At 32.5% G+C, this 14,533-nt stretch overlaps 1 protein-coding gene across 8 annotated transcripts in view; it reads left to right on the top strand.

The window, feature by feature from the left end:
* The window catches only part of DPYD (dihydropyrimidine dehydrogenase), an 843,317-nt gene that overhangs the window by 190,661 nt on the left and 638,123 nt on the right, over positions 1-14,533 (top strand). For 6 of the 8 annotated variants that reach the window (XM_047448077.1, XM_017000507.2, XM_005270562.3 and 3 more), the window contains one exon: positions 8,728-8,889. In XM_047448077.1, the coding sequence (XP_047304033.1) occupies positions 8,728-8,889 (162 nt within the window). 8 annotated transcript variants of the gene reach the window in all.

The raw sequence follows: 14,533 nt of genomic DNA, 5'->3' as shown, positions 1-14,533 counted from the left end.
AATGCAAAAATTAGCCGGGCGTGATGGTGCATGCCTATAGTCCCAGCTACTTGTGAGACTGAGGCAGCAGAATTGCTTAAACCTGGGAGGTGGAGGTTGCAGTGAGCCAAGATATCGCCACTGCACTCCAGCCTGGGTGACAGAGCCAGACTCTGTCTAAAAAGAAGACGATAAGTAGTAATCAGTAGTTCAGTTTCTAGTATTATATATGTAGTTGCCTATATGCTTACAGCCAAAAGGGGTTGATTAGACATGATCTCTGACATTAATAAAAGAAAAAATAAGACACGTCATAAAAATATAAGACTACCGCAAATATATATTAACAAACACAATCATCAAAAGGCTGTTGTACAAAGTGCTTTCTGGCATTATGCTTCCAATTGGAAAAAAGCTGAAGTATTGATAAAGGTCTTTAAAAGAAATGTTACCTGAAAAGAATGGGTTTTGATACAGATGAAAGTTTTATTTCATTTAGCTAGAACAATATAGAGGCAACAATATTGATTCTTCATTCATATCTAGTGCTTACCAAAAGCGCTCTCACATATTTGATGAATAATGAATTGAATACATGTGCACACATAGACTAAGTTATTTTGACTAACTCATGGGGAAGATTGTAAGTTCTCAAGTTCATTAAATAGAGCAGGGAGGATAGGATGCAGAAAATAGGAGTAATAGAAGTGACTTAAAATTTATATAGGTTCTATATAAAAAATTTACCACCATTCATATGCCCCCATGTCATTGATATTTTATGGTTTGGTAGATTAGTGATTTTCTGTACATACATTTTGCTTCTTTCTTTCTGTATTTCTTATTCTACTTCCTAACATGGAATATTTATTTAATATTTATTTAGTAAATATTAAAATCTTAAACTCACAGTATTAACATTTAACAAAATCTTTTTAGTGACAAAAAGCCTAAAGGGGTAGAGTGGGAACCTAAGTTCACTGAATCTATTGTATAGTACATAATGGAATAGGCATCTTATCCATGCACAGTTAAAAAATGCATAATATAAATATGCCTGACGAAGAAGGAATTTTGATCTTCATGTCTCAAGTGATGAAACCGAGGCTGAGAGATATGACATTTCCCCAGTCATATTGCTTGTGCATAGTATAAGCAGAATTCAAATTCAGTTGATGACTTCAAAGCTCGTGTACGTGTGTGTATGTGTGCACGTGCTTGTATGTGCCTGTGTTTTTGTTCCAGTTAAATATCTCAGGATCAATAAAAACGTTATCTTCTACAAGAATGATTATTAATTTCCTTACATGTATAGGCTTAAACGAGGCTCACTGAACCAAATGTGTAGTTCTAAAAATGAATCATATTGTATAAAGCTGATCTAAAATGTGGTATATCTAAGATATGAAAAGAGAATTTTTCAGAATAAAGCTAGTCAAACCTATTCTTCTATCTCCATTTTTTTTTTCTGAGAGTATGAGTACGATGAGGGCAGGAATTTTCATGTGTTCTGTTCACAATATATCTACATTCTTCTTTGCCAAATATCTGAGGACCCACAGGTTGTTCATTGAGGGATGGTGACAGCTTGACAAAAAGAGTGTTCTGTGTGCATGTACTTTCTGTGTGTGGTGCTAGAGACATTTTCTATTCAATTAATGTACATCAGTACATTCACCATTACAGCTTGAGCCAGAAATAAAAGTAATGTTAATTCACCCTTCTCACACATGCAAACTTCTTGAAGTTTAGCCCAAGTGTTTTTTTAAATGCAGCAGATTGGAGTTTATCTTGGAAGGGTGCTTCCATCTGTGAAAACTGTCATTGGAAGAAGGAAGAACACTTTAAAATAAATCCACCAGCTGTATTGATAATCTTGTAGTGATATGAAGACTTGAATATGATAGGACTATTTGTTAAATTAGTTATACCATATGACAGGGTAGCGGCTTGTGAGTTTTCCATTTCTTGATAATGACTTTGGAAATCATTAAATTGTGGAGGAATGACACTAATGCAGTTTCATGCTGTAATTTTAAATAAAAAGCAAAGTATAGAAATTAAATTATTTTAAAATTAACTCACCTAAGTGGCACATGTCGTGCCTATAGACATGCTTTAAATACCCCAAGGACTAATAGAAAATTCAACACCTGCAAATTGTGGGTAAATTAGTGGGCCAAAGAACATTCAATGCCTAATGTGTTGATTTGAAAACAGCAAACATTTCAAATATTATTTTTGTCTTTAGATTTTTGTTAGGAGAAGGATTGAAAGTCTTAATGTTTTGTACATAAAATATCTCTATGCACAAAAAAATCAGATATGTATTTTGTATCCCTCCTGACATAGCTCTGTACATTTTTTCCTCACATGATGGAACACTGAAATGTTTGTGACTGATTGAATAACATGAACCAGTTGAAGTAGTGTGTATTTTCTAGAAGGAGACTGCTGGGGTGTCTATAAAGTACCCTTCTAAATTTAAATTTTCTAGCCTTTACTTTTAAAAAGAATGAAGAGCTCACAGAACAGAAATCAAACCTCTTATGTAGAAGGAGGACTCAAGAAATCTTCCCACTTGCTATGAGAGAATAAATTGATACTGATCTTGACATTATCTGTGGGAAGAATTGAGGAGGTGTTCCCCTCCTAATAGGTTTCTGAGTGTCTTTGGCTCTGAGTACTAAGATCCCTAAACAATGGAGTTATCTACCATTTCTTCAAAGTTATTTGTAATAGATAGATTGCAAAGGTGACTTGTGAATCATTGCTTAATATTGGTTCAACCCATTTTCAAAATCATGCTTCTTTATTCTGTGAAACATGCCTATGCTTTCCTCTTTCTAGGCATCATTGTGTAACCTCTCTTGGGCTCCCTACCTTTCCCCTTCCTTTCTGAGAATTTCCACATCATCTATTCAATATTTTTCTTAGTTAGTTTCTTAATACTGGAACCCTTCTATTAAAAAGCTTTAATTAAATAGTAATCCCTCAGCTTGCCAGTCAGAATCCTCCATAATTTGGTTCATGCATATTTTTCAAATATATCTTCTAATAATCTTTCCCAAGTGAATGAATTACCTCAGCCAAATTGCCAAGTCATTACACCAAACCCTATTGTGAACTTTCTTGAATATTTACTCATATCAATCAAGAATGATGTGGCTATGATTCTCTCTTATCTTAGACAAGTCACAGCCAGAATCATTTTGACTGTTACCCATTTAATGCTGTTTCTGGACACCTTAACCTGAAATGACTTCTTACTCTGATGCTAAAGCATCTTGATATCAGGAAGCATATACTTGTTTTTTTCAAAAAAATAAACATACACATAATGCTTTATATTTAGAAGACATTCAATAAATCCTTACTAACTTAAAACAATTTTTAACCTCCTACAAATTTTATTTTAGTGAAAGGGTTTTACTTAGAGTCATGAGAGTGTTAAGAATTATTAGACAATTTCATGGCAGTAGTAGATCAGACACTCATAGTTTGACAGCTATAGAAAAATCATGAGCCATAAGTATAACTTTAAATATTTTATTTGTTGCAATTTTTCAAACGTGTCTCTTTTTCTTCTTGTGATATCATTTTATGTGCAATCTTGAAGCTAATTTGGGGCCCATGAAACAATCAATATTCTTGTGGAAAGATACTTAAGTGTTTAATTGGATTATGTTTTTTTTTTCTGTGCTTCCTTACCCCAAGTATCCTTAAAAGTGGTCTACCAATTGCAGATCACATTTTTTTGCATGATACTGTTTTTATATTACAAGGACACTTCTAATTATACAATGGGAATTTTGAGTCATGGAGTCAGTCAAATATTTGTTAATGAATCACATCAAGTGTTTCTGTGATGTCATATAAGAGGAGGAAAGAATACTGACAGTGACTTTGAGATTATTTCTAACAATGATGACCTGCTCAGTTGCTTTTACTAAGTGAAGAGATCAGTGGGCTTCAGCAGGAACTAAATATGTTTGCTTAGGAATAGACTGATTAATTCTGAGTTAGTAATTGCTCATTTTCATTATTATTAAGTAAAATTATCCAAAACCAGAAAGTCAGGTCAAGGAGATGACTGTGTCTTTTTATTATCATACTAAGGTATTCTTTAAATACAAGGGAACAACTAAGTACTATTTAGTTTTCTAGGAGAAAGAACCATTGGCTCACTTCTGTATTTATTCTTAAAAATTCAACCTATGAATGTACATGTTAACTAGTAGCTTTGTGTCAAGTAGAGATGCAATTTCTATTCAGAAGAAAAATGATTCCAAAAGTTATGTTTTATTGCCCTACAGGTCATTGCCTAGTTTTGTATATAATCTAGCTATTTTATGCAATTATTCCTTTATTAAATTGAGTATATAATTCCCACTCCTTTAAATGCATGCTTTAAAACATAACAGCTTTTATGAGATGTATTCACTTCCCATGTATTTGTTCATGTAAGTGAAGTTGACAATTCACTGATGTCTAGTACATTTGCAGTTTCAACCATCACCACAGTCAATTTGAGAACAATTTTATCACCGCTAAAAAAAACCTCCATACTTATTAGCAGTTATTGTCCATTCCCTCTCAGACCCCCAGATCTATGATTTACTTTTAGTTCATTTTTTTGTTTGGTGTGAGATAGGGTCAAACTTCATTCTTTTGCATGTGAATATTCAGATATTCCAGCATCATTCATTGAAATGAATATTCTTTCCAATTGAATTGCCTTAGAAACCTTTTTCAAAAATTAATTGAACATAAATGTGAAGGCTTTTATCTGGACTCATATTTATATCACATTGATCTACATGCTTATCCTCATGTCAGTACCATACTATCTTGATTATGTTAGCTTTGCAGTAATTTTTGAAATCAGGAAGTGTTAGTCCTCTAGCTTCATTCTTATTTTTCATTTTAGCTATTCTGGATCCTCTGGATTTTCCTATGAATTTTAGGATCAGCTTGTCAATTTTTGCAAACTCAGCTGGGATTTTAGTAGAGATTGTATTGAAATTTTAGATAAATTTGGATAGTATCACCATCCCAATAATTAGTCTTTTGGCCCATGATCATGGGATGTATTTTCATTTATTTAGGTATTATTTAGTTCCTTTCAACAGTTTTCTATAGTTTTCAGAGTATAAATTTGAACTTTTTACAGTTTTTAATACATATAGTTCTGAATAATTTATTTTGTTTGTTGCTGTTGTAAATGGAATTACTGTCTTGATTTTATTTTTCGTTTGTTCATTACTAACATATTGAAATACAATTAATTTGCATTTTAATCTTGTATCCTGTAAGTTTGCTGTACTTTTATTACTTCTCATAGTATTTTAGTGGATTAGTTAGGGTTTGTATATACAAGATCATTTTACATGGAAATAGAAATAATTTTTCCCTTTCCAATCTGGATAACTTTCTCTCTCTCTCTCTCTCTCTCTCTCTCTCTCTTTCCTTCCCTCCCTCCCTCTCTCCCTCTCTCTCTCTTCTTCTCTATCTCTATCCCTCCCCACTCTGTCACTTCCTCCTTCCTTTTATGCCTAATTATCTAGCAAGAATTTCAAGTGCTATGGTGAATAGAAGTTGTAAAAGTTAGTGTGATGGCTGATTTTATGTGTCCGATTGATTGAACCTTTGTGTGCTCAAGTATTTGGTTAAATTTTATCTTGGATGTTTCTGTGAGAGTGTTTTTGAATTAGATTGGCATTTAAATCAGTAAGGTTAGTAAAGCAGATAGCCCTCCCAAGTGTAGGTGAGCCTCATCTAATCAGTTAAAGGACTGAATAAAACAAAATGCTAGCTCTACCCTGAAAAACACATAATTCTTCCTGTCTGACTACCTTTGAAATGAAACATTGGCTTTCTCCCCTACTCTTGGACTAGAACTAAAACTAAAACTTAACTGGTTCTCAGGCCTTCCAACTGAGACTTGAACTAAAACATTGGCTCTTCTGTGTCTCCAGCTGGCAGACTCAAATTGCAGATCTTGGAAATTTGCAGGTTCTTAATTGTGTACCAGTTTCCTATAATAAATCTCATACACACACACACACACACACACACACACACACACACACACACACACACACACACACACCCCCCCCCCCCCCCACATACATCCTATTCTTTCTGTGTCTCTGGAGAACTTTTGACTCCTTGACTAATGCAGTGAACATTCTTTTCTTGATATTGGAGGAAGGCATTCAGTTTTCACCATAAAGTGAGATGTTAACTGTGGGTTTTTGTAGAGGCCTTTTATTAAGGTGTTGAAGTTTCTTTCTATTTGCAGTTTGTTGATAGCTTTTGTCATGAGGGATGTTGAATTTGTCAAGTGCCTTTTCTGCATCTTTTAATATGATTGTGTGATTTTTTGTCTTTTATTCTACTGATATGGTATATTTTGATATAAACCAACCTTGCATTCCTGAGATAAATCCTTCTTGTATGTTCTAGAAGTATTTGTCAGAAATTAGCATAAATTGTTATTATATGTTTTATACAATTCACCGATTAAGCCATGGCAGCCTCAAATGCCCTTGACTCAGATTTTACTATCTTTATTCTGTATTTGTTAATGAGGTAAATATAATCTTTCACACATTTTTCTTCTCTGTGTGTAAGATATTTCTGTGTTGACTTTTGGATATTATACTTTGACAGCTTAATGATTTATTATTAACCTCTTTTAGAGACACTACCGAAGACTCTGACAAACACAGTGGTAAATCTGATCCAATTTGGGGGAATAAACAGATCCTAATCTCTTGATTAAAAGAAACAGACTTTTAACTTATTAAGCTTTTCATTGAACTGATGGAAAGACCACAACTAAAAGAACTATGTAATAAAAACTACTTAATATAAAGTGTAATGAATCGAATGGACTAGCTATATGTCCTCCAGCTTATATTGAAAAGAACTTTTGTGTGTGTGTGTATGCATGTGTGTGTGTGTGTTTACATCAACATATGGACCATAGCTGAATAAGATCACTGTAACTAGATTCTGTAATCTATTGAGCCATGAACAGTATGCTTTAGTATGAATCCTGTCTCTGCCACTTATCTGCTTTATGATCCTTTGCTAATTATTTACCCTTTATATTTCAGTTTTATTGCTTGTGAGTTTAATTTCATACCACATTCTTACTGCATATTCAGAAAATATATGTAGAAGAACCATTCTTACATGGCAGACATAACTTTCATTGCTGAAGGGACACTGAACAAGACAAATACTGTTAAACCACCACGAATGCTGTGAAAGCCGTGCATTAGCTTTTATTTTAAAATGTTCATTTACTTCTAAAATATCAGTTTGATTCTTTTTAAACAGATTCCAGTATTCTGGTGCTATTATTAATTGTTTCTTTTTTTGTCTTTTCTTTTCCTGAATTTTCGTCAAGGTTATTTTTAAAAGTCTTTTATTCTGACTTAAATTTCTTGATTACCTAGGAGTTTGCTTATTTTATTTATTGTTTTCTTATTATTATCAGGCGTTTGGTCCTGTCTCTTCTTGCATCTAGGAATTTTTGATCGAGCAATGGACATCCTATATAGTGAGAGATGATAACAGTAAATAAAATAATTGGTGCTAAGAGTAAATAAAAGTCTTTTAAAGTGCTGGGGATATATTAAAGAGTCAATAAATAGTAAATGTCATTGTTCCTTTTTGTTATCATCAGTATTCTGTAATCACTAGGAATCTGTACTTATGTCTGAGGCTTTTCATGGAAGCAACGTCTGTGCTTTCAAAGACCTTCAAAATTATTACAAATAAAAGCCAAAGGAAAAATAAATGCAATATGTTTATATTGTTAAGTGCATTCTATCAGCTCTATTCTTAAAATGTATTTTAGAGCAGTTTTAGATTTATGGAAAAATTGTGACAGTAGTACAGAGAGTTTCCATATGCACTCATAATTACCCCTATTATTAACACCCTACATTAGTATGGTACATTTGTTGCAGTTAATGAAATAATATTGATATATGATTATTAGCTAAAGTCCCTAGTTTATTCAGATTTTCTTAATTTTTACTTTTTTTTCTGTTCCAGTATATCATAAAAATCACCACAATACATTTATTTGTCATGTGTCCTTAGGCTTCTCTTGTCTGTTAAAATTTGCCAGACTTTTCTTGTTTTTGATGTACTTGATTGTTTTCAGGAGTACTGGTCAGATGCAATTCTTCCTTTTGATTAGAGGAAAACATTCTCCCAAATATTCAGCTTATTATTCATTCTTTTTTCAGAAAATAATATGTTCCAAAAATAATGAAAGCTCTGGCTGCTTTTAATTTAGTTAAATGGAGGATAACCTGAGTATAACCATTTTTTGTTGTTTTAAAGTTTAGGTTTTGAGTTTGTTCAAACAATGCCATCTAATTTTCATTTGTTAAAAAGTGAAATGAATAATTTTTGACAAGATATAGTTAGATGACTTGTAAATGAAAACCATTTACAGAACATTTATTATATTTTAAACTTCAGTTTTCCAAAATTGATTAGTTATTCATTTATCAACATACTGTGCATTGAATATTCCTATGTGTCAAATACTCTGCTAAGTTTTAATTGATGGTTCCTGATAGTAGTATTGAAACCTATGCATCTTATACACATCATTATCTTCAATCTGATTACCTAGTAGAAGAAATAATGTTTGTCGTAATTTGGCTGTTTAAAGTATATTTTTAAGTAGTAAAATTTTATTTTGTATTAATTTTGCAGAACTATTATGGAGCTGCTAAGATGATATTTTCTGACAACCCACTTGGTCTGACTTGTGGAATGGTATGTCCAACCTCTGATCTTTGTGTAGGTGGATGCAATTTATATGCCACTGAAGAGGGACCCATTAATATTGGTGGATTGCAGCAATTTGCTACTGAGGTATGTATGATATACACGTGACATCCCCCCACTACCATCACCATGCACAAATATCTTAAAATAACTTTAATCCTTGGTGCTCTGTTGATACCCAACATTTTTAGTGTGACACACAGCTCAAGTATGTTTTGTACAACAAACTTTATTTTTATTCAGCAGCTTAGCTACAAAAAGGAAGTGTATAAAACCATATGTCAAATTAGTTGCAATCCCAGCAGGTTATTAAAATACTTTGACTGAAATTATATAAATTAGATGATCCGAAAATAGAACTTATTCATTAACTTTATGTGGAAGTATGGCAAGGAGACCCTCTTATGAAAAGACTATCTTCTGTAACAGATTATTTTCCCTGAAGCTCTCCTTAATCTTTAAAGCTTGAAATACAGCATATTTCATTGTATTCTTTGAGTAATAATGTTAGAGAATTTTCAAAAACCCTGAAACTAAGTAATGTTATTTAACCACATTAATAATGTCATTAGATTTTGTGAACTTATAGATTGGAAGCAGGTCTTTTATTTGGGTAAAAAATGTATAAGGAAATAAAATGAGAGCACTTTTTTTTCTGTTTATCCCATAGACTTTGATCCTGGCTTTCTCTTTAATGAATCATTTGTAAAGACTTTGATTCTTCAGACACTCTTGGGCTCTCTGACGTCTCCTATTTGGAGTCAACAAGCAGGTTAATTCCCATGTATCATTTAAATGATCAGCTTATATGAAGGGTATAGTAAGATTTTATAATCTTTGGAGACTAGTTGGCTAGAAGGTCAAATTAAGTGCCCGTCAACCTAGATTTTTAGTTAATGACTTACTGATCTGGTTTTGTCAGCATAAACACAATGTGTTCTTTCATTTTGGGACCCTTCCCATAATATTCCTCAAGCTTAAGTCTCACTTTGCTCTTAGTAATAAATCAGGGTTATTCCCTTCCTGCTTTCTGACAGGTTAATTCTAAAGAAGAGCTCCTGGGAATAAGAAAATAAAAACAATTCGAGGTTGTGGATTGTTGCAATAAATTCTGGGATTTAATTTCTTTTCTTACCAAATTCAAAATTGCATTAGGCTTACCTGACCACTACGAAGTATGATCTTTACTACCTGTGAAAATCCTTAGTTGATGGAGAAGATTCACTTGAATTCCTCCTCACTTTTCTTTGGGGACCCATTGCCTCTTCATTAAACCAGGGCAAGCTTTCACAGATGCAGTAAGTGAAAGGTCACATAGTATGTATATCAACTAACACAGCATTTTAAAACAAAATGAATTAAAATGATATCATTAGTAATTGATCTGGTCATGAGAGGTGTGTGTGTTTGTGTGTGTGTGTGTGTGTGTGTGAGAGAGAGAGAGAGAAAGAGAGAGAGAGACAGGGAAATACATTATTCCTCTGGAAACTCTCACATGGTTTTAATTCTTTTCTCTGGGAACACTGTCCCTCTGGGAACTCTTACTTGGTTCTACCACTCATTCCCAGAGCAGAGTCTATTTAAGACAGAGACATGTGCCTTCAGAACAGAATTTATTAGAAACTTACTAAAATTTGAGAGTGGTCACACTTAGGTCTTGCCATAAGTATCACCTAATGAAGAGTTATGCATAGATTAGGACTGCAGTAGATGCATTTTAAGTGAATCAAGGAATTTAGAATAGGAATGTATCTGCTTATTTCATTCCAATTATAGTTTGTATAATTGTAATTTCAATATCAAATTATAAATTAAAAATGTCCTCGTGGGAACTACTGAGAAAAGCTTTTTGTCCTTTTTTTTGGGTTGGCCGATTAGGGTGCCTGATTTTAGAAAGTCCTGTATTCCCTAGGTCAGTGTGTGGTTTACTTAAATTTACCCAACTGTCAAAGTTATTAGGAAGTTAAAAAAACAACAAAACGAGTAACTCCGTTTTCACTGATATTCACGGAAAAAAGTACAAAATGCGAAATGTTATTCTTTCAAACTACTATTGACATGAGTATTTAAGTTGAAGTGTAATATGATGCAAATAATTTTATATTTTGATTGTTTGATAAAACAATGATTGTTTTTTGACCTTTAAAGAAATACAAATCTATTTTTTCAACCAAATTAAGCAAAGGTTAGGAAAGCAGATTACAATAGTATGGTATTTTTCAAAATTGTTTTTCCTGTGACTTATAAGTGATTTTTAAAATACCAACTCAGTAGTCTGCCATTATTGGTTAGGTACATACCTTATTCTTCTCCAGTTTAACATGAGCATGTGATTTGGAGGGACCATAGTGGAAAAGGAATAAATCACATGATGCATAGCCTTATGTAGAATCAGGAGGCCAGCTGCTTTTTTTTTTTTTTTTTTTTTTTTGGCAGGGTTGGGGGTGGATCTTGTGTTGTCATTCCTATTCAGCCTTTTGCTGTTTCCACATTTGCAGTGTGAAAAAGCCACCTTCCTTCACACACTGGTGTGTTCATGTAGTAAACAGGCTACCGGGGTGATTGTGACTCACTCTAGGAGGCACTTTTTTTCCCTAGTAATATTTTAATCCTATCATGACATTGTTTCAATAAAATAACTGGGAAATAATAGTTTAGTATAGATTTTATCAGTCACATGATGGTTTTTGAATTTCTCTGCACAAATATAACCCTTGAAAATTTTATTTTGAAAATATTTGTGTATTTATTGGAATTTTGAAAGAATTATATATTATTTACATTTAATAGACCACCTAGACTCTCATTGCCTCTGAAATTTAATTAATGAATTGTTGGAAAAGCAGAAGGAAATGAGAATGCATCTTTCTACCCATTGCCTAAAGTTTGAAAAAAAACGATTTTACATAGAAAATTAGCTGCATGTCAAATCAGTTCTCTTCTACTGATTAAAAAATTATGGAGGCAATTTAGAAATATTAAAATTAAAAAATCCCAGTCTTCCAGGATTTGTGTGTCAAAATGAATGAGAGCTGGAAAATTTATACTTAAAATTACCACCTCAATTCTGAATTTTCAGGAATATACTGGATTATGATATTGACATCTAAATATAAAATTTATTTCACAAAAACATTTTATAAGATTTTTCTGATATCTGTGAAATATACCATCTTATGATATATACCTCTTAGCACTTTACTTATATTTAGATTTTATACTTTTATTGTACTAATACCCAGAATCTACAAGAAACTCAAACAAATCAGCGAGAAAAAAAAAATCCCATCAAAAAGTAGGCTAAGGACACAAATAGACAATTCTCAAAATAAGATATACAAATGGCCACCAAAAATGTGAAAAAATACTCAACATCACCAGTCATCAGGGAAATGCAAATTAAAACCAGAATGCACTACCACCTTACTCCTGCAAGAACGATCATAATTTAAAAATCAAAAAATAATAGATGTTGGCATGGATGTGTTGAAAAGGGAATACTTTCACATTGCTGGTGGGAAGTAAACTAGTACAACCACTATGGAAAACAGTGTGGAAATTTCTTAAAGCACTAAAAGTTGATCTAACGTTGGATCCAGCAATCCTACTACTGCGTATCTACCCAGAGGAAAAGAAGTCATTATATGAAAAAGATACTTGATCACACATGTTTATAGCAACACAATTCACAATTGCAAAAATGTGAAACCAGCCCAAATACACATCAGTCAATGGTTGGATAATGAAAATGTGATACAAACACACACACACACACATGCACACACACACCATGGAATACTACTCAGCCATAAAAAGGAGCAAAATAATGGCATTCGCTGCAATGTAGATGGAGTTGGAGACCATTTTTCTAAATGAAGTAACTCAGGAATGGAAGCCAAACATCATATGTTCTCACTCATAAGTGGGAGCTGACTTGTGAGGACACAAAAGCATAAGAATGATACAATAGACTTTGTGGACTTAGGGGGAAGAGAAATGGTGGGTGGGAGGATGAGGGATGAGACAACCCATTGGGTACAGTGTACACTACTTGGGTGATGGGTGCACCAAAGTCTCAGAAATCACTACTAAAGAACTTACCAGTGTAACAAAAAGTCACCTGTTCCCCAAAAACTATTGAAATATTTAAAAATGTAAGAAATTTCTGTGGTTTTAAGCCAAAAAAGAGAATGGAACTGACAAGCAATTGTAGATGAAATCAGGTGACTCATTCAGAAAAGAGGTATCTGTAGATTTTCCTTTTTTATGTTTTTAAACATTTTTTTTATTTTACTTTTTGTCTCTCAGCAGGTTTCTAAACTATCACCTCTCATTTGACTTTACTCAATCCTTGTCGTATCAGCATATACTATTTGCAGTAATGCAATAAATACTTTGAAATATACAATAAATAATTAACTACAGTTACACTATTGTGCTACTGAACAGTAGATCTTATTCCATGTAAGTGTATTTTCATACCCATTAACTATCTGGAATTGAATTGGATTTTTCATTAACACAAATAAATGACAAATGCTTGAAGTGTTGGATATCTCAAGTTACCCTGACTTGATCATTACACATTGTATGCATCTATCAAAACATCACATGTACACCATACACATTTGACACTAATATGTATTAATAATAATTAAAAATAAAAAATAAAAAATTGAATTTTTTCATGTAATTGATAAAATGTATTTTGTTTTATTTGCTTTAGATTGAACATATATTATAGATAAAATGCTAAAGGCCATGATATTCCCTTCCCAAGTCAAGCACTCTGATTCATTGATGAATATGGTCTATGTTTTATGTTTCCTAAGAAATAATTGTACAAAGAATGTGGAATTCTCAAATGAATGTTGAAGTTTAGAAACTTTCTCATCTGTTTATTGACCATTCATCTTCCTCATCTTTTTTTAAAAAGTTTATTCTTTGTACATTGTGTCATATGTGTGGTGATGGAGGGATCTAGGGATATAACACACCCACCCTGGATTCTCTACAGAAAGCCAGTTAACTCAATTCCATTTATTGTGTAGTTTGTTGTTTCCACACTGATTTGTAATAACTCTGATTTTATACAGTAAGATCATATGTATGAATTTGTCTGCTTTTGTTTTTTTGGCAGGGTTTGGAGCTCTATTTTTTTTACATTGGTCTATTTATGCATCCATTCACTGACACAAAATGTATTAATTGCTACAGTTTTATATTTTTATATATGATGGGGTGTTTTATTCTTGATTTACCATTTTCAGAATTTTGTTAACTATTCTTATGCCTTAATAACATGATGATGGGATATTTCTTAAGGGTTAAAGAAAGAATATACTATATATTCCAAGGGACTGTAAACATTTATTTCTATATTTTATCAAGGGTAGACACAGTTTGAGTTAAATTAGTCTGGTAAATATACACTAATACAATTAAAAATGTCAAGTGTTATGAGACTACATTAGAGAACATTTAACAATTATTTAAATTACATCAACATTTATGTTTTGCTTAAAAACGATAATAAACAGTTTTGAAGAATTGGGAATGGAGAAGGAACTTGTTCACTCAAATTAGTATATGATTGTTTTAATAGAGCAAATATTACTTCTACCATATCTTCACCTTGGTTATGGCAGTCACTGAAATTCTTAAACTTTTGTATTCTACAACTCTATTTTAGGAGAACATAGACATATGTATTCTAATGAACAATAGAGTA

Source organism: Homo sapiens, chromosome 1 (assembly GCF_000001405.40).
Source record: "Homo sapiens chromosome 1, GRCh38.p14 Primary Assembly".
Classification (NCBI taxonomy): domain Eukaryota; kingdom Metazoa; phylum Chordata; class Mammalia; order Primates; family Hominidae; genus Homo; species Homo sapiens.
This window is presented reverse-complemented; position numbering and strand designations above follow the sequence as displayed.